This window comes from Homo sapiens, chromosome 1 (assembly GCF_000001405.40).
Source record: "Homo sapiens chromosome 1, GRCh38.p14 Primary Assembly".
Classification (NCBI taxonomy): Eukaryota; Metazoa; Chordata; class Mammalia; order Primates; family Hominidae; genus Homo; species Homo sapiens.
The window spans coordinates 169,000,401-169,026,373 of NC_000001.11; the positions used below are offsets into that span (position 1 = coordinate 169,000,401).

Consider the following 25,973-nt stretch of genomic DNA (forward strand, 5'->3'; position numbering starts at 1 on the left):
TTGGTGCCTCCCAGAGATCCCCCTCCCCTATGCATACCACTTAATCTCACTCTTGTGGAGAGGGATGCCCATGTCTAGGGACCATGTTAGGGGGATAATTGATGACTGTGGGTACTTCCTGGGTAAATACACAGTATATGACTGAATAATGGAACTTACAAATAAGATGAGGTTTTAGGAACTAGAAGAAAACACCACCTCTATCTCATGTAGAACAAAGTTATTTGTGATTCGGATTTAGTTCACAATCAACCAGCTATCAGAAGTAGATGGGGGTAACAGTTAGAGAGTGAGGAAGAACAGTGGCTCCCAAACACTGGTCCATGTAACAGTCACCAATGGGCTGTAGAAGACTCACCTGGGAGCTTGTTACAAATACAGATTTCTGGACCCTCCACTCCCAAAGATTCAGATTCAGAACATCTAGAAATCAGTATAATTAGCAAGGCTCCAAAGAGATCTTTCCATGTAGGCAGATTTGGTGGCCACCAGGACAGAGACATCTGTGCACAGACATCAAGGCAGCCCTGACCAAGGCAAATTCATCAGTCTTCTCTGGGCCTGGCCCTGGGATGGACAGTCTATAATTTTCCCTGGCCTTGGCAGCAAGCAGTATGTCAGTGACCAGGAGCAGGACCCTTTGTGCACTCATTTGAAGGCAAAGTATCACACCATTTGATTGTTTTCAGCACCATTGCTCCCGAGAGCTAGGAGGCCGTGCCCAACCTTTTTTGATCTGACACTTATATTTTTCACTGCTGCCTTTCACAGAGCTGAGCAAAAGTTGCAAAGGCATAAGGTAAATATGTCTTATTACAGGAGCAAATGTAGAAATGGTTTCTAGATAGAGTGTGAGGGGTATCCAGAGTTCAAAGAGCATTTGAAGGTCACAGCTTGAAAAAGCCTGTGATTCAAATCCCTCCTCCAAACGTTCTTCTGTGTTAAAACTTTTCATCATCCTCCCTTCTTGTTCACTCTCAGGTGCTAAGATAAGAAAGCAGGCTGGCTAAAGATGAAGGGGAAATGCTATATTTGTGGATCCAGCTAGAGGGAAAATGTAGAGTCTCTCTACCTTTCTTTTTGAGTTTGCCTTCCCCGCTTCCCTTTGTATGGCATGTTCTCACTAGGGGCCCAAAGTAATGAATGCATGGAAGGGTGCGCGGGCGGGAAAGCAGAGCAGTGTAATGGGAGAAAAAGGATGTGAAGGCGAGAGGGACAGGTTGCAATTTTAAATAGAGTAGTCTTACTCATAATGTGACATTTTAGCAAAGACCCCAAACAAATCTTGCAGATCTCCAGAGAAAAAGTGTTCCAGGAAGAAGAAAGCACAAGTGCAGAGGCTCTGAGGAGGCAACTAAGGGGAACAAGGATTCCAGGATGGCTAGACTGTAGTAAGCCAGGGTGCCGATTATGATGAGCCTTGGGCACGCTCTAAGGACTCCAACTTCATTGGGACAGTTTTTGAAACAAATTTTAACATAATCATTCTATGCTTTAGTAGATCACTCTGGCTGCTGCAGTGAGAGAAGAGACTGAAGGGAGGCCTGAGTAGAAGCACGGAGAACAGCTGAGGGCCATTGAGACTATCCTAGTAAGACAGGATGGTAATTACACCGTGTGATGTCAGTGGCCATGGTGAGAAATTGCAGAATTCTGGATATATTTTGAAGTTACAGTCAACAAGCATTACTGACAAATTGGCAGTGAGGTATCAGAAAAAAAAAAAAAAAAGAGGAGTCAAGGATAAATTGTGGTCTCAGAAATGGCTGGAAGCATTAAGAACTTAAAACAAAAAAATAATTTTAAAAAGAAAAAAATAAATAGTGCAAGAACAAAAGTCAAGAAAGAAGGGATGAAGTTGAAAAGGGGGAGGACTAAAAATCTGAATAATACGTGGAAGTATTTTGTAAACTGTTAAAAGGCTGCAAATGGAAGTTGGCACCTGGTGATGATGATCATCATTAATTATAACACTAGGAATAAGGCATTGGATTTGTTGTTAAAGAATTTCTAGTGATCTCTGAAAGAGTTATTTTTGTACGTGGTAGAAACAGAAGTCTTATATAAGGATTAGAGGAAAAGTGTGTGTGAATAGGTAGAGAAAATTGATGCAGACTATTTGTTCTAAACGTGGCAATGAGGAGGACATTAGAGGACAATAAAAATGAGCAACTACTTTATAATAAATAGTAATGACCTATTGTGCATGATAGAGGACATAAAACAGAAGGAGAAAAAGGCTAAAGGAGGCCCCAAGCTAGTTAAGCCTTTAGATCTAAGTTCCAGGTTACAGAAAATGCAGGAGAGTGAGCATCTATTAAACCACACCAATAGGAAACAATCAGAAAAATTCAAATTACTGGACATTTTACAGAACACTGACATGCTTTCTTCAACAAGTCAATAGCATGACAGGAAAAAAAACTGCAGAATTGTATTTGTTTAGATAAGGAAGAATGAATATAGTGACATAACAACCAAATGTATTATTTAAACCATATTTGAATCCTAACTGAATCATAAAAAGACATTTTTGAGATGATGATAGAGTTTGCTTTAAAATAAGGTTGAGCATCCTAAACCAAAAATCCAAAATCATAAATGTTCCAAAATCCAAAATGTTTTATGAGATAGTAACACCTTTGCTTTTTGATGGTTCATTGTCACAAACTTTGTTTCATGCACAAAATCATTTAAAATTTTGTATAAAATTGCCTTCAGGCTATGTGTGTAAGGTAAATATGAAACAAATGAATTTTGTGTTTAGACTTGATGTCTCCTTACATATATGCAAATATTCCAAAATCGAGAAAAATCCAAAATCAGAAACACTTTTGGTCTCAAGCATTTTGGGCAAGGGATATTCAAACTGTCCTAATACAAAAAGAAGAAAGAAGGAGGAGGAAGAAGGAAGAAGAAGAAAGAAGGAAGAAGAAAGCAGAAGAAGATATAAAAAATGTGATAAAGTAAGTGTAGAAAAATGATAATTTGGGAGGATTATTATGCTGTTCTCTCTACTTCTGCATATGTTTGAAATCTCTTATAATAAACATTTTAAACAAAAGTATAGAGCAAGATTAAGTTACTGAGAAAGCCCAATACCAGAGAGGAAGAACAGAGAGTAGCATTGGGACACACATGAAAGAACATATGAAAAGACTGTGTGTTCAGGGATGCAGTAAGAAATCTAGAAGAAATATGGCCTTGTTTGGTGACTATAAAAGTTGCAGCAAAGGAGGGGGTGAAGTTGTCTCCTGACCGTGGAAGAAATAGTAAGTTGGGGCTGGGGTTTGAAGAGAGAAAGAAGATTTGGCACGATCATGGCAGATAACACCAGAGAATAGATAGTGGAGGAAAATCACGACTCAGAAGCAGCAAGATTGCATGGTTTTACAGAAGCCTTGGTCAGAAATTCTGAGCTCTCACCAAATTCCTAAGACCCGTATTGTTTCTGGCCATAAAGGCCAAACCTCCTTTGGGCAATGGGTGGCTTTTTCTGTTCCTATCTACCAGGGTCCTTCAGATTTTTTTCTTCCCAGGCAGACTCTATCTAAAACCCCATTGCAGTCCTCTGCCACAAGCATCCAGAACTCAAAGGAATAGTGCCTCATACACTATGGAAATTTCTCAAGACCCTTGAGTGATTACAGTAGTCCAAGAAGTGCTCACCCTACAGTGATCTTCACTATTCAGAGAAATTAAAAACTCCGTCCTCCTTACCCTTGAGGAGGATTTTGAGGTGAGAGGACTGGGGAGGGGCACACAGGCTGAGGGGTTTCCCCTGGGGGAAGGAGGAGATGCAGGGCAAGAAGAGAAGAAGTCCTGGCACCCTGCACTTGAGGGCCTGGCACACAGCCATCCAGGGAAACTGCCATTTCCCTGTTTCTGTTCATTGCTCCATGGCCCCTGGCATCATGGAAATTTCCAGCACTTGTGGAAATTCTCCAGGAATGTGAAACTGCAAAAGTTCTATCTATGCTGAGCCAAGGGACACTTTCTAGCTATCTGAAGAATTTGCTAATTAAATGACTAATGTCAACTAGATTCCCAGGGAATAATTTATATACATATGAGGGGAAAAAGCCACTCTTAACACACCACAGCATCTATAAAAGACTTTGCATTGTGCCTAGCACACAGCAAGGGCTCAAAAATATTAGTCCTCTTGTACTCTGAATTTAGTGACTGAAAGAGGGCATGGGTGGAGCTTCTGGAGGTCTGGGAATATCCTGCCCCTTGACTTGGGTTCTGGTTATATAGGTGTGTTCAGTTTGTAAAAAATCATCAAGCCATATACACATACTCTCCACATTTTTCCTTACTTACGTTATGTTTAAATCAAAACTTGCCAAAGCTTTTTTTAATGTTGCTTGTTACAAGTGAATGTTCTAGTCATTAGATTAGGGCCACCTCTACTTTAGTTAACTAAACCATTTACTTGCATGACTTAAATTATAATGTCTTTTCAAATATTGAGTAATTTGAAATTCCTCTCACTGTAGATATGTTCACAAAATTAGAATTGATGAAGATTCTCCAAGCTTAAAACAATGTATATTTGTTGAAATGTTGAATGAATGACTCTTCTCTTTTCCACATTTCTCTTTGTAGCCAACATTTTTCAGGAACTCCTTTAGCAAGTGTAGAAAGAAAGGCAAGAAAGAAAAGGCACTACTATATATTATAACAATACCTTATATTTCTCTTCTTATAATACATCATAAATTTAATCATATAATTATTTGTCAAATTTGTGTAAGTATTTGCTCAACATCTGTCTCTCTTGTTAGATTGTATGTGTCATGAAAGCCAGAGACATGCTCTTATACTCATCATTATATTCCCAGCACCTAGCAAGGTGACAAGTGTTGCATGAGTGGATAAATAAATGAATAATTGAGTGGATTAATGAATGAGAAATCCAATGTTAGTTTTAGTTGGGTGAAAACTTAGAGGATACATTGAATAAACCCTGGATAAGACATAAACCTGTACCCCTATTGTCATAAAGAATCAATGAGAATACAGAGGGAAAAAAAGTCTTTCAAGGAGGCACTCAAGTTCTTTATTGTATAAATCGTTCAAATAAATGTCAGGTTGGTTTGTCCTTATTTTTGTTGTATAGGACTTTTTAATGTGAGTACTTGAAACACTGGTTTCCCTCATTTTAAGTATATTAGAGAATCTTCACATTTATACAAAAGAAACCTTATGATAAGGTCATAAAGGACCCAAGGGAATAATAAATGAAATATAAAGTCAAAGTTGTCTTATTAATAATAAAAAAAAACAAGAAATAGCCTATGCCAACGAGAGAGAAAGTACACTGGTAAGCACAAAACAAAGAGAGGAGAAAAACATTATGTCAAATGATTCAGGCACCAGGAAAGAAAACATTTTAATAAGAGATGAAAGAGCTGGGAGGAAAAATTATGCCTTTAGCTGCTTGGATATGAGTGTGGGGTTAGAGGGACTAAGGGGTCTAGCTAGAAAGACATGTCCATGTGCAGAGCTGGGCAAAGGCAGATCTTGAAGAAGAGGGAGTCTGCCTTAGACTCTCCCCAGTGTTCCAAGACAAGGCTTCTTTGTCCATTTCAGGACATGCTTACAGCATCCTCACCCACACGAAATGCCGACTGTCCTCTCGCTGCCGGCTCTCTGCCCTGACCTCCCCACAGAGCTGAACAGAGTTGTATTTTAATCAGCCCTCCTCCCTAGGTAATATATGTTACTTCTGGGCTTTTTCTCCTTTCAGTCCTCTGTCAAAACAGTACAACCGTATATCCAAGCTCTGCTCTCCCCTTAAAATTTATTTCATAGTATTCATTTTATTCAATAACAACTTTATTGATATTAATTCACATACAATGCCATTCACCCATTTAAAGTGTACAATTCAATAGTTTTTAGTAAATTCACAGAATTATGCAATCATCACCACAACCAATTTAGAACATTTTCATCATCCCAAAAAGAAACTCCATACCCATTAGCAGTCATCCCCAACCCTCAGGCCTAGGCAACCACTACTCTACTTTCTGCCTCTATTGATTTTGCCTCTCATGGACATTTCATAGGACTGGAATCATACAACATGCAGTCTTTTATGGTTGGCTTCTTTCACTTAGTGTAATGTTTTCAAGGTTCATTCATGTTGTACCACGTATCTGTATTTCTGAATTATATTCTATTGTATGAAGATACTACATTTTATTTAGCAGTTCATTCAACGGTAGCCATTTGATTTATTTCCACTTTTTGACCATTGGGAATAATGCTGCTATGATCATTCATATAGTGTTTTCTTATAGGATGCTAAAACTGGAATGAAGCTTCGCAGTTGTCGGCTCTCATCCCCATGCAACTCATGACTTTCTTCTACTACATCCCTAAATGTTTATGTTTAGCCTCATTTGAACAACTCCAAAAACAGAAAATAAACTATTGCCCGAAGAATTCTATTCCAGGATTAGACTTTTATGGTAATCAAAACATTTTTTTCCTTAGATTCTGTCTGCCTCTAACTTCCTAGCTTAGACTCTAGCTTAGTCTTTGGGGGCCAGAGCAGTTTACTTCCTTTCCCATACAACATCACGGAATATTTTAATCTATTATTTTCCCCTTGACTTTTTACTAGACTCTCCACTAAGAAGACTAGACTACATGATTTGAGATTGGTTTCCACTTTAAAATTCTGTGAAGGTGACCACCACATATGTTTTGAAATTTATCCACATGATGAATTGGATATGTGTTGGTTTTTACCCCAGCATACCCATATTTTCCTTTGGGAAATACCTATACAGTTTGGTTTACATGGAACCCACTCTCAGCTCCAGGAGTGAACCCCAAATGGCTTCTTAATTAAGTCAATCAGTAAATCTTTTTTCCCATGGCTCTAATGATGGTTCAGAGGGAGGAGGAGAAACATATGACTTAAGCCAATCCAATATGAGTGAATGTTGCCACTTTTGCTGTAAATAATGGGACACAGACTGTCCTCTTCTGTGCTTGATGGTGTGAGGATATGAAATTTGGGAAAACTGTCAGAGAACCTGTGTGAAACTTGAACCTGAGGATAAGACTCACACAAGTGGAAACAGAGTGGAGAAATGTATCCTGGTGATATCATTTGGGTTCTGAATCAGTACATACCTGCAGCAATAGTTACCCCAGGAACTCTTCAATTTCTCGAGCCAATAATACCTTTTTATAAAACTTGTGTAGCCTGCTTGGGTCAGGTTTTTGTCACTTGTGACTAAAAAATTCCTGATGCTTATATCTTGGTTGAGGATTTATCCTACTGATTCTACTACATGTTAAAGTGTGATAACCAAAATTGATTGTAGTCCTCCAGGAACTTAATACAGCCCCATAGAGCAAGTTCTCTTCTTCTTTACTTTAGTAACCCACATCACACTGTTGACTGATATTGCATTTTGATCAGTGCCTTACACATAGTAGATGCTAAATAAATGACAACAGTTGTAATTCTCTACCCCTTTTTCTGAACTGAAAAACAGAGTTCCAATATGCCTGTTCAGAGACAAGAGCTGAAATATTGGGCTCCGTCTGAGGTATTATATGATAATCAGGAGTACAGTCAAAAGAGATAGTCCAAGGGTCTATTAAAGGGTCACATGACACAGCAAGCGGATGATGTAGAAAGAAGGTGTTAGCATAAGACTGGACCCTATTTTCTGCACCATATTATAACCAGTAACTATCATTGATCACTCAGTACACTCAATTTTGTGCCATCACTACTTCAATTCTAGATGCCTGGTATTTAAGTCCCAGGTTGAACCTCACTGAACTGATGGTTTCCTCTGATGTTATTAATATATCTAGAAGGAGGACACTTCCACAGCCTTTTTCCAACTCCAACTCAAATCCAGCATCTAATGAACATGGCTTTCTACCACTTATTGCAAGTGCTGCTGACACTGCTTTTTTTTTAATCCATCTGCTGCTCTCCTGCATCTTTGTTTCTTGGTATTTTTCTACAATTATTCATTGCATCATACTACTAAGAGAATTTCTTTCTCCATCTCCTCAAGAAATCCAAGACTTTATTTTTGTCAGTTGCACTTTACATACTGTGTTAATCTGTACCAGCTAAAGGTTTCCCAGTTTTACACTTAGCTATTGGCTGGAGTTAGCCTGGGATTTTTTTCCTACCCTTCTAGGTAAAGACGGGTTCTCAAACCTAAACTTTCTTTGAGGTCTCTTGCTCCTATAGATGGTTTCAGGCTCCCTGATTCTCCAAGTCAGTAGTCTTCAAACTGGAGAATACATTCACGTATATAAGGAGTTTCCAGGAAGTACATACTAGTGAGTAGTTTACAAAATCAATTTCTAGAAATTCAACTCCTGTCCAAACTATTCCCTGAATTGCTTTGGATGATAACATGGCTGCTCATGCTAGCTTTTTCTTTTTTTTTTTTTTTTTTTTTTTTTTTTTGAGACGGAGTCTCGCTCTGTCGCCCAGGCTGGAGTGCAGTGGCGGGATCTCGGCTCACTGCAAGCTCCGCCTCCCGGGTTCACGCCATTCTCCTGCCTCAGCCTCCCAAGTAGCTGGGACTATAGGCGCCCGCCACTACGCCCGGCTAATTTTTTGTATTTTTAGTAGAGACGGGGTTTCACCGTTTTAGCCGGGATGGTCTCGATCTCCTGACCTCGTGATCCGCCCGCCTCGGCCTCCCAAAGTGCTGGGATTACAGGCGTGAGCCACCGCGCCCGGCCGCTAGCTTTTTCTTTACTAGTAATCATCTTTGTCCAATTTAATGAAGGAAAAACTCACCTCCTACTCATTCTAAAACTTAGTTCAATGCATCACCTGAGGGTGTTAAAAAAAAAAAACCCTCTAGGGCACCAAAAGGGACAATTTAAAATATTGTTTCTGTGACAAGAAAGTGAGTAGCTCTAATGACCTAGAGTAAAAAAATAATGAATCAGGTGATTTCAAATTCTTTGCTCCCTACAAAATTGAAGATGGTAGTTGAGAAATCTTTAAAAATCATTTTTGATGACTAATAACTACTAACTGCCACTGATATAACTCCCTTTCAGTTCCATCTACTTATTTATATGAATGAAGTTTCTCAGTATTTACACCTATAAAAGATAAAAACATGAGCTTACATTATAAGTAATATTCATCCAAGAATATATAAATACATTTAAACAATAAAATAATCTCATCTATCTCATTAAGATATGAATTTGCAATAAAATTTTACTCTGTTGATATTCATCAAAGTATGTAATACACAAATTGTTTTAGCCAATTGTATAGTAATACTATAGAGAATGGTTGTTCAATTTAAAATAGATTTTTAACTAAAATCTAAAATAGATTTTTAGTTCAGGAGTCAGAGATGTGAGTAGATAGTGTTTGGGGATCCCCTCTCTGGTTCTTTCCCTTTCAGAATTTTTTCACTATCTTTAGTGTTTATGGTTTCCTGACTTCACTTTTTTACTCCTCAGGCCTGAAAGATTGCAAGTTGGTCATATGTGCTGCTGGTACATGGGCACTGGACTTAGTCCCAGTCAAAAGCCCTGAGACAGGAACTTATTTGTTCCTGTCTTATATAACATATTTGTTCTATAGTCTTCCCTCTCCAAGCACATCTGAACACCAGAGTCTGTATGCTCCTTATGGCCAGGTTTTGCAGTGGTTTTCTGCATGGATAGAAGAAGTGTGGGGTAGTCATTCAGTAGGGTTTTAGTTCATCATACCTGGAAATAGAGCCCAATTTTGTTTTAGAATGTCAACATTTATGATAGGCTGGGAATTATATCTTCTGCCAACATTTAGACTAATGAAGAAAAGGTTTAGATATCAATTTTGTAATGTATATAAAGGTACTTTTTGTTCAGAATTACCTGAGGCGTATTATATCAGAAACCTCTTATGGGCCATTTCAGATCCTCTCAGCCTCTCTCAACTCTTGGTCCAGCTACCATTACCAGCTCTGCCTGGGTTCTGACCAATTTCATACAGGTGAAATCTGACAGTGTTTCATTGTGTGACTGTAACCAAGTGCCTCTTGCATCCCATCTTGTTGACAACAAGGCATGGGAATGTCGTAGGACCCAAGATGGAGCCCACATATGCATGATCCAGATTTGGGGGAAGTTAATTCTCTGTAGGACGAAACTTTGACAGATTTGAAATGGAAGCCAGTAAATAAAGTTACTTTCTCCCCTGAGAACCACTGTCCTACAATGCAGTCATCTGACTTTGCAGAGCCAGTCCAACAGAAGCAAGCAAGCAATTGTCCTTAGTAGAAGCCAACTGAATAATGCATTGACTTGTTGGTTTCCCATCTTCCCTGGCTCACACTCTTTTTCCAACACTCTTTTTTCCTCAGGATGACAACTGATATAGTAGCAGTACAGAAGCCCTTTGCCTCAGGTTCTCTTTTCTGGGACACCCAGGTTAAAAGAGAAGTACAAGAATTCCACTGCTGTCCTATGGACACAGATTCAATAACCCACTTATCACATCTGATTCCTTGTCTGCTGACCTCTCCTGGGCACTGTGACCTATGGTAATTTAACCAGCCCAGGCTTGCACTTCTGTCGAAACTCACTCAAGTTTCAATGATCCACTTTGTTCCTCAGGAGGGATTTGATATCCAACCTGTGACTTTGCAGGAAACAGAATATATTCCAGGCCCAGAATTGCTAGAAGGACTACTCCCTAAAGAAATAGTAGACCCTGGAACTCTGACACTTCAGTCTTTCTTTTTTCTCCTTTTCAAAAGTGTTCCACTTCTATCTTACTTATGGGGCAAAGAATAAAGCAACTCTGGTAAACATACCAAAAAAGGCAGCTGGCATTCAAACTACACCTTCCATCAGACAAGCTCTTCTTAATACTTCAGCAATTTTCTGTTCTTGATCGTGTGAGTTTAAATAGCTATGTTCAGCTATCATGTTGATGGGACAAAGAAAAGGACTAGAACCAATGAGTGAACACTAAGCAGAAGCAAACTGTACCCCAGTATAAAGAAAAACTTCCTAACAATTGGTGGAGTTAAACTAGTAGAGCACACAGAATGACTGCCCTACAGAAGAGTAAAAGCCCTGTCTCTGGAGGTCTCAGTGCAGAGGCTATATAACCACCTGTTTGAAACATTGATGTTCAAGTTTGAGCCCCTAGCAATTCTAATTCTATAGTTTGAAATTGCCTGAGAATTTGCATTTCAGCAAGTTTCCAGGTGATGCTAACAATGCTGGTTCAAGGACCACACTTTGAGAACTACTGTTGGGATGTTCTGTAAGGTAACCCCCAAACTGAGAGACAGGAGAGAGTAACCATTAAGACAAAAAGCTTTAAAGTCAAATTAGACCTGGGTTTGAATCTCAGTTTGGTCATATACTAGCTGTGGAATTAGGCATGCTATTAACCCTCCCTAAGCCTGCTTCCTCATCTGTATAATTTGAATATAGACACAACTTACTTCATAGGGGAATAAGGTGGGGAACAAATATATCCAAATCAAGGTAGCCATTAATATTAGCCTTCGTCACCTGCAAGGAGCCATAATGTGCCCTCATACGTGGCAATCATTATCTAATTATCATCACCCTAGGAATAAAGGACCTTTCCTTTTCAGGGTAAGAACACCCATATCCAAAGTAGAAGCAGGACCACCAATCCACAGCAAGAATCTATACCACATATGCCAAGAAATAATATTGGGCAGCATTACTTTCCCAGGAACATTATATTAGCAAGTAAACATCACCACAATTAAACTAACTTTCTGGAGAACCATGGCTTCTTCTTTGCTAGCTAATACCATAACCAAAAATCACCTCTCTACTCAAGAAAGTCAATATTAGCCACTAAAAAGGAATCATTGTAACCAAACGGGGTTTTCTAAAAAAAAAAAAAAAAAAAAAAATTATGTACTATATCAAGATACTGCACAAACCAAAATTTTCCTTTGCAGCGGAATAATTCAATGAAATCATTCTACATTTGACATCACTGGGCATTCCAGGCAGTCCTGGGAGCCTAAACACATCTCTTTTCACTGTAGAGGAAAACTTCAACAAATTGAATTTTTCAATCATATCCTTTAAGTGTCTTTGTCTACTAAATTTCCATGCCAGTCTTTCGAAGCAGGAGAAGTGAATTGAAGATTCATTTCCCACACAAGTGTCTCATCAACAGCATGAAGGCAATCCCCTGTGAACCCAAAGAGGTCATTTGACTCATATTCTAGGTTTCAATAAACCAGAGCATTTGGAGAGGTAAGGCCTCAAGGGACATAGAAAACAAAAATGAAAAACAAAAGCTGGCTCCATAAAAAATAAGACCGAGCAATACAGGTCAACTCTTACCTTACAGTTTCTTGCTGAAGCACACAGACTGGAATTCTTCTCTTCCATGGAGTCCTCCCCATTCCTGTGGGGTTCTGGCAGCTGACAGAAGCCTTCTCCAAGACATTATCTCCAGGGAGATGGAGAAGGTTCTGGGAACTATTAATGCCTGAGAGACTGACTCCTGCTACTTTCAAAGGCAATTCGGCCAAGAACAGGGAAATCCGGCATCCATTGATCAAACACTGCTTGTGCACTAACCATTTGTCAGACATGATGGCAGGAACCTGTGATCTGAGGAGGAAACAGTCCCTGGCCCTGCCTTCAGGAGGCCCAATTATGCATAGAAGCTTCTAAAGCACATTTGGTTCCCAGAGGCATCAGTTAGGGAGATGGAGGGTTCTGTGTGTCTTTTTAGAAGATACTGGGAAGCCTGAGAGGTGACCTCCCAGGCTCCACACAGCTCTCTCACTGATTTCCAGCACAACAGAGGTAAAAACAGCAGCAATAGCCACTCCAGTTTCTCCCTTAGGGCCTTGAAGAACGACAGCTACCTGGAGATTTCTCTTCAGGTGGCACCTAAGGTGGAGCCGCCCAGCCCTGCACATCCTAGGGAACTAGTCACCTAGGAGACAGCATGAAAGGGGCCAGCAAATTGGGTCTTTAATAACCTGTGGGTATTTCCACTTCACAAAACTTAGAGGCCAGAGGAGCAAGTGAACATAATATCTCACATATATCTAACACTGTGTACTTTACCAAAGGCCTCTGTGCCCAACTAAAGAAATATTTATGAAGCATTTAACAGAAGTCAAGTAATGTGCTGGCACTTTCGGATCTATTACTTTGTTATAAATTTGATACTCACCCTGTTGGCTAATTATTGTCAGAACTGAATCAGAGAAATTATGAGTTTGATACAAGTTCAAATTTCTCAAAAGTGGCAGCAGAATTAAATATTCTGGCTCTATTAAATCTCCTTTGTTCATTGTGTTGCCTCCAAGCCCCTTGCCCACAGGCGGCCTAAGAGGTGAACATCGCTTTAGAGTAAATGTCATTAATAGTTTGAATCTCATACTACAGCCTGAAGAAATGGTGAGGGGAGCTAACATTGACTAAGCACCTCGTGTGTGCTGAGCCCTTTCATATGCTACCTGCCATGGGCTGAACTGTGAGCCCTCCATCTCTGTACGTGGACGCTCTGATGCCCAGTAACTGGGAATGTGACTGTATTTGGAGATGGGGCCTTTAAAGAAGTAATTAAGTAAAATGCAGCCATATGGGTGGGCCCTAATCCAATATGACTGGTGTCCTTATAAGATTAGGACATAGACAACACACAGTCCGAGGAGCAGCCATGTGAGGACACAGTGAGAAAGTGGACTTATGCAACCTGAGGAGAGAGGCCTCAGAAGACATCACACCTGCCAACACTTTGTTTCTTGGGCTCCCAGCCCCCAGAACTATGAGAATATAAATTTCTGTTGCTGAAGCCACCCAGTCTGTGGTATTTTGTTATGGTAGCCCTGGCAAACGAATATATTACGTCATTTTATTTTTATAGTATCTCTATAAAAATAGGCATAATGTCCATGTTCAAGATGATTGACCAGAAGCTTAGAAAGGTAAAGTAACTTTACAAAGGTCACAGAGCCAGGAAACAGGAAAGCCAAAACCTAATTCTAAATTCTCTTTTTTTACACCCTACCTGGCCTCTCAGACCACACTCCATTCTAGCCCAGAAACTTCCCCTGTGCCTTATTCCAAAACCCCTGGCATAGACATTCCCCTGAGAATGTCAACATTCCCAGAGAGCATCACACAGGAGCCTGTGCCGAGAATTTCGAAGACTCTAGACTGGGCAGGCTGCTTGAGTAAGATGAGATGCCATGCTAACTGCAATATTTCTAGAAAGGCAAGGAGGAGACAGACTTCTCAGCCCTTCTTTGAACCACAGGCTTTTAAGTTAAGGAATTTCTCACGTCTTTCTTTTGAGGAGAGTTTACCACATTTTCTGGGTTCATAAGACTCAACTGATAATTGTGATTTTTAGCTGGAAAATCTCCCAGATAGCTCTTTGCATATCTGCTTGCTACCTAATCAACATTAGTATGGCTGCTGAAAATACTCAATTTGCAAGTTACATGATCCAAATGTGCAAAATAATAACGATAATAACTTTCTTTACTCTTCTGTAACTCAACTTCTGTTTTATGCACCAATTCTGCCTATTGGCAGAAACTTGATCACGTCCCCTGAGGTAAAAACACTGGTCACTTCAAATTTAAACATGATCATTTCCATATTCCGCTCCCCCATCTTCCTCACCCTTAGGTGGCATCTACATTCTAGGGGTCTGCATGGCATGATGGCCTGGGACACATGGGACCTCTGCTTGTTGGCAGCCATCCATGCTACCCTCATTCATTCATGGACACCTGTCCCCACCAGCACTTGCTGGAAAATCTAAGACTCTTGGATTTTAGCCCTTGGTGCATCTGGGTCTCTCTGTTTCTGCCTCATCCAGGTTTCAAAGTATACAGCCCATCACTTGGTTAACTTTGAGCCCTTCTTAACCACCCAGGAGATTATTTGGGCCCTTCCTCCTGATGTGCCATCGAGACAGGAGGAGGGAGACTCAGAAGGGCTGTATCTCCCCAGCTACCAAGACCCATACAGCCCTCTCTCTCCCTCTACTCCACCTCCAGAGGCATGGTGGCCACCTCCTACAGCAAAAGGTGGCCTTGGCTCTCAGATTCCTAGCGCCTCACGTCGTTTCATCCCAGAGTGGGAGGCCAGACTCAGAGGCCCCTTCCACAGCCACCGAACTTGGCTCTGGGGTCTCCTGTTCCCATCTAACTAACTCTCCTCTCTCCCCACCCAGCCACCCTGAACTGGTCTCTGAGGGAGCAGGGCTTTTGCTGGCTCAGCATTTCTCTATCTGCTGGTTTCAAACAGATTATTAAAAGGGATTTGACTCTTGCAAATCAAAACCTCAGCTCTTAAGATAACTGTTTCTGCTTCAAGTTTAAGAATATCTAAGCCCTGATTCCTACCTCAGAAATGGACGTAATTATACCTACTTTACAGGAAAATTATAAGAATAAAGCAATCTATTTTGGAATACGAAAGCCAGGAATGTAACTCATTACTGTCAATAGGTGGACACCTCAACTGATACAATCTCAACTGTTGAAATCTCACCTGATACAATCAGGTTACTAAATGAATAGAGGGTAAGTTCAAGGATGGCAAGGGATTGCAAAAAGAGAAAAATGCTCAATTATTTTCTCTAAATATTATCCCCACTCTATTAGATTTCTCTGTCACTTGTGGAGTGGGAGATTATTTTCAGCCGTCTTCTCCCTGCTAAACCAGATACCTGCTTAGAGTGCAACACCTTTGTTTAACAGTTGCACACTTTGCCCAGAGACCCACAGGTCTCCCTTGATTCATTCAGGTTTCTGCTCAAATGTCCCTGTTTCAGTGAGGCCATCCCTGATCCCCTCTCCCAAAAAGCAATGGACTTTGACTGCTTTGCTCAATGTCAAATATTCAGTGACTGGAACACTACCCTGCATGCAACAGACACTCTATAAGAATTAATTAAAGGAAGAAAGTAGGAAGAAAAGGAGGCAGAGAAAAGCCAGGCTGGCTATCACCCTGACTCCCTGGCATCTCAAACCTCACAATGCACTAGCTATGGGACCCACAGAGTCTTGAAAGGGTGCTTCCCAAAGTTCCTGTGTCCTTCTTCTCCCTTTCTCCTACTCCTGCTGCAAACAGCACAGTTCTCAAAACAGCAGCCATGGCCCTTCCCTAAATGGCTTTCTCAGAGCGTTTCACCCTACAGAGAGAGCCTGGTGCTCTCTACACTTCTCAACCCAGAGGTCACTGGGCAGGATTACCCCAAACCTGTCTCTCTTCTGCCTCCCCAGAATAAAGCAAACAGAAACATGTGGAGCCAGGAACTGGGGTCATCGAGGGATGCAACATTTTACTTTCTTGTGGCAGGCTGCTCCCCACCTTGAAGTCTGCATGCTGGCCCAGAGCCAGAGGAAGTAAAGCCCCAGCACTCGACCATGCAGGGACAGCCAACTGCCCTGCCAAGGGGCCAGCTCGTCCTGGGGCTCCCTTGCACACCAGGCTCCAGCTACTGCCCCACATCCTTTCATCTTCCATTCTCACTGGGCTTTTGTACACATGGCCTCATCTCCCTAGAATGTCCTTGCCAACCTCATTTGCCTGGCCAACTTTTCCTCCCTTCCAGGACTCAACCCAAATATCAAACTTCCCGGACATCCACCTCCTCCTTAGTCTGAACTGGTCCTCCATCCTCTCGTAACCCCTGTATTCTGCTATATCCTTAGTTATCACTGTGCACTGTAACTGTAACTTGCCTCCCCCACTTGCAAATGAGGCTATTGAAAAATAAAAGCTATGTCTTATTTCTTGTGTATCTCCTGTCCCTAACCCCAAGTCTGACACACAAAGACATAGTGCAAATAAATGAAAGTCTGGTCATTCATTTATTCATTCCACAAATATTGGACCAGGCACTGTACTTGGTGCCGAGGGTACAAGAGTAAAAAGGCCTGAGAGTATGAATCTGTCACCTCAAGGAGTCTGTATCCTAATAGGGGTGAGACAGACAATACCAAGTAGATAAATAATTGTAGATAATTATAATTACAGATTTATTATTATTATAGATTATTGAGTCATTATAGATCATGATCTATTAGTAGTAGAGAAATAATTGTAGATTAATATTTGAGAGTGCTCACTCTGTGCCAGAATATCAGGTCCACACCCACACCCACACCCACACACACACATGTACACAAAGTACAAGTGGTTACACACCCATTTATTAGATTATATTGGACAAAGAAGACAAGCTTTGGCTGATTCTCAACCTTGCCCAGGGCACAGTGTGTTAGACTCTCAGTTGAAGAAAATAAACAGGGTTCTTTCATCGACATCAACAGAAGGCTCTTACTTCAGGAAGGGGATCAGGGGAGGCATGGAAGAATGAACGAGTGAGTGAATGAGATTACAAACACAACATACCTGGGTCCAGAATGCAGATGGTTGCTAGAAGCCCCCTTATCTCGGGAGAGTTTCTGACACCTCAGGATCCATTTGGCAGTTGGGATTTAAGATTAGCTCTATACGCAGATGACAGGGCAGATTCATTTCCCCAAAGCTCCCCTTTCCAATGCTTATCTTCGGGGTCAGTGAGAGAGAGAGGACTGGGATTCTGGAAACACAGTCAGAATAAAATGCAGCCATTCCTGAGAGCTCACTGTGTTGAAGCCCTGAGGCTGGCCTTGGGGACACCATTAAAAGACCTATGGAGCTCTCATTCAACCCCACCCCAGTCCTACCTGGGGGAGGCACAGGTGTAAACATCTAATGAGGCAATAGGAGAACGTCACAGGGGTGTGTGCAATGGCAGCAGATCACAGAAGACAGGCAGGTTCTTTCTGCTTGGATGGAGAGGGCAGTGAGCAGAGGGAGACAGGGAAAGCTTCTGAAATTTATTCTGAGCTGGGCCTTGACTGGAAGATGAACAGAAAAGAAAGTGAACAAGAATATTTCAAGTGGAGAAGAGAGCATGAAGAAAAGCAAGCAAGGATGGAAGCACAAGGGGTGATGAGTGATGCTGAGTGGTGGTGGAGAAAGGTAGAAGGAGAGGATGGGTCTCAAGGTTTGCTAAGGCCACATACCCTCTGATTCTAAAATGCAGCTTGCAAAGGGTCAGGAAACTCCGACTCAAATTCAGAGACAGCATCTGCAAGAAATGTCTAGTAAAATTCTCTGCCCTGGAAGGTGGGGCAGGGACAACAGGGCAGCCCCTACTCCCAGGGCTGTCCCAGTCTTAAAGAATACAGCTATCTGGGGTGAGGGGAATACTGGGAATTCAAAGAAAGGAAATATGGAAATGGAGTTGGTTTCTGCCTTATTCAGACCAACAAGAAAGGAGAGTCACCCCAAGTTCAGGCCTCAGGTGCCATGACACCCATCCACTGATGCACCTTCTCACAGACAGCACTGTTTGGGGGTGGGAGTACCGGGCAAATGAGAGCTCCCAGGTGAGGACCCTTCAGGAGCTCTCCCAGGTGCCGTCCTGCCCCCTGGAGCTTATGAAATGTGCCACACCTCCTGCAACAGGTGCAGGAAACCGCCAAACAGAGGGTTTAGAAGCAACAGCACTTCCTGGGCCTCCTAAGAACCCAGTCCGCACCCAACAGGGTGGCATCTGTGCTCTCCAGGGGAGGGAGAAATTGCCTGCAATCATCCTTCCAGGTGTTCTGCCACAAAGACCTCCTTGTGAGACATCCAAAAGGCCAAATCTATAACCTACCTTAAAGGGAAATCATGATAAATACAGGCAATACAGCAAATACAAGACGATTTCCTAATAATAAAAAATAATACCGAAAATGCACTGAGTGCTTTCTCTGTGCCAGAGTGTAAGTGCACACATGCATATGCTCGGACACCAAGTATAAATGCTGATATGCCAGCTTGTTAGGTTATACTGGACAAAGCTTTGACTGTTTCTCAATCTTGCCCAAGATACGTTCCCACTGGGAATTCTGACTTCTGTATCTTTGTGTGAGGGACATCTGGGGAAAGCCTCCCTTCCTGCAGGATTAAGATTCCTCACCTGTAAGATATATTAACTGTTTTCTTAAAAAGTCTCAAGTCTGCCAAATGGAGGACACACAAAGTTTCTCAGAGTAAGTGCTCAGGAGAAGGTGTGGGGGAGTGTCTATGCAACAGTGTACACCTGCTTCCCAGTAGCTTATTAGCTCACCCACACCCAGGTCACAGGGAAGGTAGGGGACAGGTGCTCATGGGGCTCCCTGCCCTGCTTTGCCAGTGCCTTGGGCTCCTTGATCTGCTTCCTCAGGGAATTTCCCATGTCATAAATCTGCACCCTTCCCTCTCCCCACCACCCCATCCATCCTCTGAGCTGAGCTCTCCATATCCTTGCAGTCTAGCTTCGGGGTCTCTGAGCCCCCCAGGTGTGTTCTGAACTGCATTCTCTGATCAGAACTCAGCTCTCTGAGCACCTGGGCTCGACTCATTGCCTTTGGCTCCTCCTGCATATCCCAGCACCACTTTGGAATGGGCTGGGTGGGACAGAGAGCAAGGGAAAGAGGAAATAAAAAACAGAGAAAGAAGAAAAGAGAGACAAATAATGAAAGCACAAAAGAGCAGCAAAGAGAAGGGGAGAGAAGAGGAAGAGGAAAAACGCTCAGGCAGTCAAAAGATGAAGAGTCAGGGACAGAAAGTAAGGCCACAGGAGAGTCAGCTGGGAGACCCAGCAGGGTGTTAGGGAGAGGACTAATTGTCAGAGGCAACTGCAAAAATCTGCACTTGTCCTAGGCTAGTGGTCATCAAACTTGAGTGTAAATAAAAATCACATGCTCGTGAAAATACAGATTTCTAGTCCATGTTCCAGGGTTCTGATTCTTTAGGCATGTGCGGGGTCCTATAAATCTGTACTTTTTAAAAATAACCAGCCCAGGAGCTTCTGGGGGAGGTTTTGGGAAATACTGATGTCCATTCTCAGGAGGGCACTTTGTGGCACACGAAACTCTGAGGAAATTCTCCTCAGAATTTGATATCTCCTCAGAATTTGATATTTTAAATGCTCGAGTTTGGAACTCAACTGTCTTGGACTATGCAAGCAACAGGTGGGCTCCAGGAGTGGCCCGATTCTGCTCTCCAGGTAACTGCCTGAATCTGGGAGGATGGCAGGTGCTCTCTGATGGACAAGTCTCTCCTCTGGGATGTAGACAGTTAGAATAGAGGGTCTCCAAGGACCTTTTCATCTAGAAGAAACCCACCAGTCTCCTGAAATGTGATGCCCATCTTGATCTAACTAGATAGACACTTATATTCTGAGGTCAAAACTTGACCAAATGTTCATTCTCCAGCCATAGGTGTTAGACAATACAAGTGCCTTTTTAAAAAAAGAAATATTAAGGCTAGGCATACTGGCTCATGTAATCCCAGCATGTTGGGAGGCCAAGACAAGAGGATCACTTGAAGTCAGGAGTTCCAGACTAACTTGGGCAACATAGTGAGACACCATCTCTTAAAAAATAAATAAATAAATAAATAAATAAATAAATAAATACATAAATACATAAAAATTAAATTAGCCAGGCATTCTGACACATACCTGAAGTCCCAGCTACTCAGGAGGCTGAAGCAGAAGGATCTCTTGAGCCCAGGAGTTTGAGGCTTCAGTGAGCTATGTTTGTGCCACTGCACTCCAGTCTGGGTGACAGAGTGAAATCTTGCCTCTAAAAAAAATTAATAAATACATAAAAAAAAAGTAAGAACTGATTTTGTTTTTATGAACTCCTTTAAATTGAAGTTAATGCCAACAGGCTTAATTATATGTATAGTATTTTACAATTTTCCTCAAGTATTTCTAATTCCTTACAAGGATGACTATTTTGTATTTTAAAGTATTTTTTTAAGAGAAGATGACCAAGTGTGTGTTATAGCTTGGTTATCTTATGGGCTGGTGAGTGTAGTGTGTTTGATATAAATAAGTTAACTCTTAGAATGCCAAGGTTTTTTTAAAACTTTTATTTTAAAATAAAAAGAGTACAAATGCTGGTGTGCTACATAGGGAAACTTGTGTCATAGGGGTTTGTTGTGCAGCTTTTTCATCACCCAGGTATTAAGTCTAGTACCCTTTAGGTATTTTTCTTGATCCTCTCCCTCCTCCTACCCTTCACCCTCCAAAAGTCCCCAGTGTCTTTCTTCCCCCTTATGTGTCCATGTGTTCTCACCATTTGGCTCCCACTTATAAGTGAGAACATGCAGTATTTGGTTTTCTGTTCCTATGTCAGTTTGCTAAGGATAATGGCCTCCAGCTCCATCCATGTTCCTGCAAAGGACATGATCTCATTCCTTTTCATGAATGCCAAGGTTTTCATTCCATCATCTTCTGACAGATACCTTCTAAATTATGATGCTAACATTTCTGCCTTGGGAAAGGGGACTTACTAGATTAACTCCTCTGCCTTATTTGTAAAGCCCAACATTAACCCTATAATAGCTCATTTCTCTTCTGCAGCATCACTTCCAGCTGCCCCATGAATAAATCTTCCACTTCATTTATTCTTCCCTCTGTACCTTTGCCATTGGACCTTCAATCTTCTGGAATGCCCTCCTTGATGTTCAGCCCACCTAAAACTCCCTGTCCATCAAAAGTCCCAAGAGCCAGTAACATCTCTCTAATCTCTAGGTCCCATACACAGCCCTTAGTAAGCATTCAGCAAATATTTGCTGAGTGAATGAATAATTCTCTGTTCCCCACACACACACAGGTTGGATTTTCCTTCTTATAATTAGAAACCCCTTTTACTAATATTTTATCTCTCATACTACATTTTTTTCAATGAATTATTATACCCATGTCACCTCGTAACTTGAAAAAAAACAAAAGGAAACAAAATGGCCAGGCATGGTAGCTCACACCTGTAATCCAAGCATTTTAGGAGGCCTAGGCAGGCAGATCACTTGAGATCAGGAGTTCAAGACCAGCCTGGCCAACATGGCGAAACCCCATCTCTACTAAAAAATACCAAAAAAAAAAAAAAAAAAATTAGCCAGGTGTGGTGGTGTGCACCTGTAATACCAGCTATTCAGGAGGCTGAGGCAAGAGAATTGCTTGAACCCAGGAGGCGGAGGTTGCAGTGAGCCAAGACCATGCCACTGCACTCCAGCCTGGGCCACAGACTGAGACTCTGTCTCAAAAATAAATAAATAAATATTATTGTTGCTAGTGAATCCTGGGATACTTGAAGGGATAACCTTTGCCTGCAGATCAATCCTAAAATCCATGAGAGGTCCTTGGCCTGATTTCCAAGGTCACCTATAATCTCCATCTACTCTGCATGCCCAATCCTTTCTCCCAGTAGTTCCCAACACATTTGGTCTGCCACTTCTACACTGACTCTTCAACCCTTCATGTGTCACCCTTAGTGCTCCCTCTTTGCTTTGCTCACACCAGTCACCCATATCCAAAGTACCCTTTTACCTCCCTCACACCTCTTTAAATCCCACTCAGCAAAAAAGGTTGATGATGCATCCCATCATTTCCATAAGGTTCACCCTCACTGCTATAATTCACATTGAGCTCCCCCTTCTCCAAATTCTTACAGCATAAACACTGTGTCACATAATTTTCTGTATCCTATATTGTGGCGCTTAATTTATACCTAATTTTCATATATTGGTTTTTATATCTGTTAGTCTTTTTCCTACAAATGGATTATATAGTTTGAAGGAAACATCTGGGTATAGAACAAGCTGTGTGTCTGCTTCACCCAGAGCCCCCTTTTAAAAGGAATTAGACCAAATGAGCAGCCACACTGTGTTCCTGTATTTGTTCACTGGGGCTGCCATAACAAAATGCCACAGACTACAGGGCTTAAACAATAGAAATGTATTTCTCACAGCTCTGGAGGCTGGAAGTCCAAGATCAAGGTGTCAGCAGGCCTGGTTTCTCCTGAGGTCTCTGTGCTTGGCTTGCAGATGGCCATTGCCTTGCTGTGTTCTCACACTGTCTTTCCTCTGTGTACCCTGCTATCTCTTTTTGCATCCACATTTTCTCTTCTTATAAGGACACCAGGCAGAATGGATTAGGACCCATGCTCACAACCTCACTTTAACCTTATCACATTTTTCAAGGCCATATCTCCAGATACAGTCACATTCTGAAGTACTGGGATTTAGGGCTCCAGCATATAAATTTTGACAGGATACAATTGAGCCCAAAACAGCTTCAATCATCTCTATCATAGATTAGAATGGAGCAGATGCCTGATCCATAGGCATGAGTTAGCTATTAGCCCAATCCATCGGTTAGCTAGAAGTTCATCAAGTGGCTTAATATGAAAACTCTGTCCAGTGGGGGACCATAGTAAATACGTAGGAGAAACAAATTCTTTCCTGAGAACTTGAAGTGGAAAATATGCCTGCTGGCCACAGGAGAAAAAGCTGAAATATGAATGCTGTATATTCTTAGTCTCTTCCCTCCCATTTGTACCATACCCTGATATTTAGCACAGTATTTGATATATACTCTGAGTCTGGCTTTGGCATAGATTCATTCTACCAGCAGTGTTACATTTTCAAGAACTTTTTTTCTTCAGGCAATATCTGGCATTCGGTCTCATTCCCTCAACACCTAATTCCTCACTTCTAGTTTACTAAAAATGAAGGATTTTGGCTGGGCATGGTGGCTCACACCTGTAATCCCAGTACTTTGGGAGGCCAAGGCAGGCAGATTGCTTGAGCTCAGGAGTTCGAGACCACCGTGGGCAATATGGCAAAATCCCATTTCTACCAAAAAATACAAAAATTCAGTATGGTGACATGCACCTGTGGTCCCAACTACTTGGGAGGCTGAGGTGTGAGGATCACCTGAGCCTGGGAGGTTGAGGCTACAGTGAGCCAAGATTGCACCACTGCACTCCAGCCTGGGTGACAGAGTAAGACCCTGTCTCAAAAAAAGAAAGAAAGAAAGAAAGAGAGAGAGAGAGAGGAGGAGGAGAAGGAAGGAAGGAAGGAAGGAGAGAGAGAGGGAAGGAAGGAAGAAAGGAAGAGAGAGGGAGAAAGAAAGAGAGAGAGAAAGGAAGGAAGGAAGGAGAAGAGGAGGAAGGAAGGAAGGAGAGAGGGAAGGAAGGAAGGAAGGAAAAGAGAAAGAAAGAGAGATGAAGGAAGGAAGGAAGGAAAAGAGAAAGAAAGAGAGAGGAAGGAAGGAAAGGAAGGAAGGAGAAGAGGAGGAGGAAGGAAGGAGAAGAGGAGGAGGAAGGAAGGAAAGGAAGGAAGGAGAAGAGGAGGAGGAAGGAAGGAAGGAGAGAGAGAGGGAAGGAAGGAACGAAGGAAGGAAGGAAGGGGGAGGGAGGGAGGGGAGGAAGAGGAGGAGGAGGAAGGATCTCTCACATCTACCTTCAAAAATGTCTTCTATTTGGAGGCACTGGAAATAACAAGAATAACTGTAGAAAAAACATTCATATGTTCCTGTGAGATGCAAACTATATTCAATGTTCCAGTCCCTATTGCTGTCATACAAACTACTCAACACTTAAGACAAAAACAAACCAATTTTTTTTTTTTACTATACCCACATAATATGTGGGTCAGGAATTCAGAAAAGGACAGCTTATCTTTGTGGTACAATCTGAGCTGTCAGCTGGGAAGACTTGAAGCCTGGGGGTGACTTGACAACAGGAGATTGGAATCTTCCGAAGACTCACTCACATGTCTGGTGGTCAATACTGACTGTTGGCTGGGTCTTCAGCTGGGGCAATCAACTGGAACACCAGTTATAGCTGAGTGGTTTTCTCAACCAGCTCCCTGTCTATAGTAATAAAGGGGGAGTCCAAAGGTCTCAGACTTTCATTTGTACTGTTTCTGTTCCTTTCTGTGCAAGTTAATATGATTCTTTTAAAAACTTTGTGAACTATTGGCATATTAACTTATAATTTATCCCATTAGACAAACAGCCACAGCTGCAAATCTCTCTGAGCTAAGTCTTTCTCCACCTTGGGCTCCCTGTAAGGCTGTTATGGAACAGTGACCTTAAGATTCCTATAAGTCCTATTTTTAAATAGAGAGGGAGGCAAGCTCCCAATTGCCTCTCTGTAGTGAAAACAGAGTGAATCCTGGAGGAACAATGAGGCAGGGAAGCTGAACCTGGCATTTTCATTCAAAGTCAAAAGCTACAAGGAGGGTTGCAAGTGGTGCCTCTACTGGCAGAAGTCAAAGTCAAGCCCTCTCTGGAGGAAGGGTCACCAAGTCAGACCCATAGGACTCACATCTCTTTAAGCTCAAGTGATGAACCAGTGAAGATGACCAAGCACACAAGAAGTCAAACCACTAGTGACAACAGATTTAGACACCCAAGAATTGCAAATTACGGAATTGTCAGATTTTAAAAAAATAATTGTTATGAATGAAATCTTAAATGAAATAAAATATTTGCTGCAATAGCAAAAATGAGCATACAAGAAACCACCAGCAGTGAACAATCTTAAAATACTACTCCAACTCCTGACCTCAAGTGATCTGTCCACCTCAGCCTCTCAAAGTGCTGGGATTACAGGCGTGAGCCACCATGCCTGGCCAGCCTGGTCAACATGGTGAAACCCCATCTCTACTAAAAATACAAAAATTAGCTGGGTGTGGTGGTGCGTGCCTGTAGTCCCAGCTACTCGGGAAGCTGAGGCAGGAGAATCGCTTGAACCCGGGAGGCAGAGATTGCAGTGAGCCGAGATAGCACCATTGCACTCCAGCCTGGGAAACAGAGCAAGACTCCGTCTCAAAAAAAACCCAAAAAAACAAAACAAACACACAACAACAAAAAAACAAAACTACTCCACAAGTTGCTTATTAACTTTAAAAAGGAGTGAATAAAAGGTATCTCCAAATGGAGAAATCTGGTGGAACCGACCTCACTATGTGATCAAAGTGAACATCAGTGTTGTAACTCTGTGCTATGTTGTGCCTGCTGTGGTGATGCATGGAGAGGGGCACAGTGTCATATATGCAGTATTCCTGCCCCAAATGTTTAATTGGAATCCAAGAAT

General features: G+C 41.8%; 1 long non-coding RNA gene across 1 annotated transcript in view, besides 3 other annotated features; it reads right to left on the reverse strand.

Moving 5' to 3' along the window:
• Positions 1-25,973, reverse strand: part of LINC00970 (long intergenic non-protein coding RNA 970) — a 183,101-nt gene that overhangs the window by 96,496 nt on the left and 60,632 nt on the right. The gene's annotated exons all lie outside the window — the stretch shown is intronic.
• Positions 12,118-12,187: an enhancer, noted in NCBI's record as "active region_2064". NCBI's record gives its function as "activates an Ori minimal core promoter by ATAC-STARR-seq in GM12878 lymphoblastoid cells {active_cell/tissue: GM12878}" and the evidence as "EXISTENCE:reporter gene assay evidence [ECO:0000049][PMID:35858748]".
• Positions 12,298-12,407: an enhancer, noted in NCBI's record as "active region_2065". NCBI's record gives its function as "activates an Ori minimal core promoter by ATAC-STARR-seq in GM12878 lymphoblastoid cells {active_cell/tissue: GM12878}" and the evidence as "EXISTENCE:reporter gene assay evidence [ECO:0000049][PMID:35858748]".
• Positions 24,533-24,592: an enhancer, noted in NCBI's record as "active region_2066". NCBI's record gives its function as "activates an Ori minimal core promoter by ATAC-STARR-seq in GM12878 lymphoblastoid cells {active_cell/tissue: GM12878}" and the evidence as "EXISTENCE:reporter gene assay evidence [ECO:0000049][PMID:35858748]".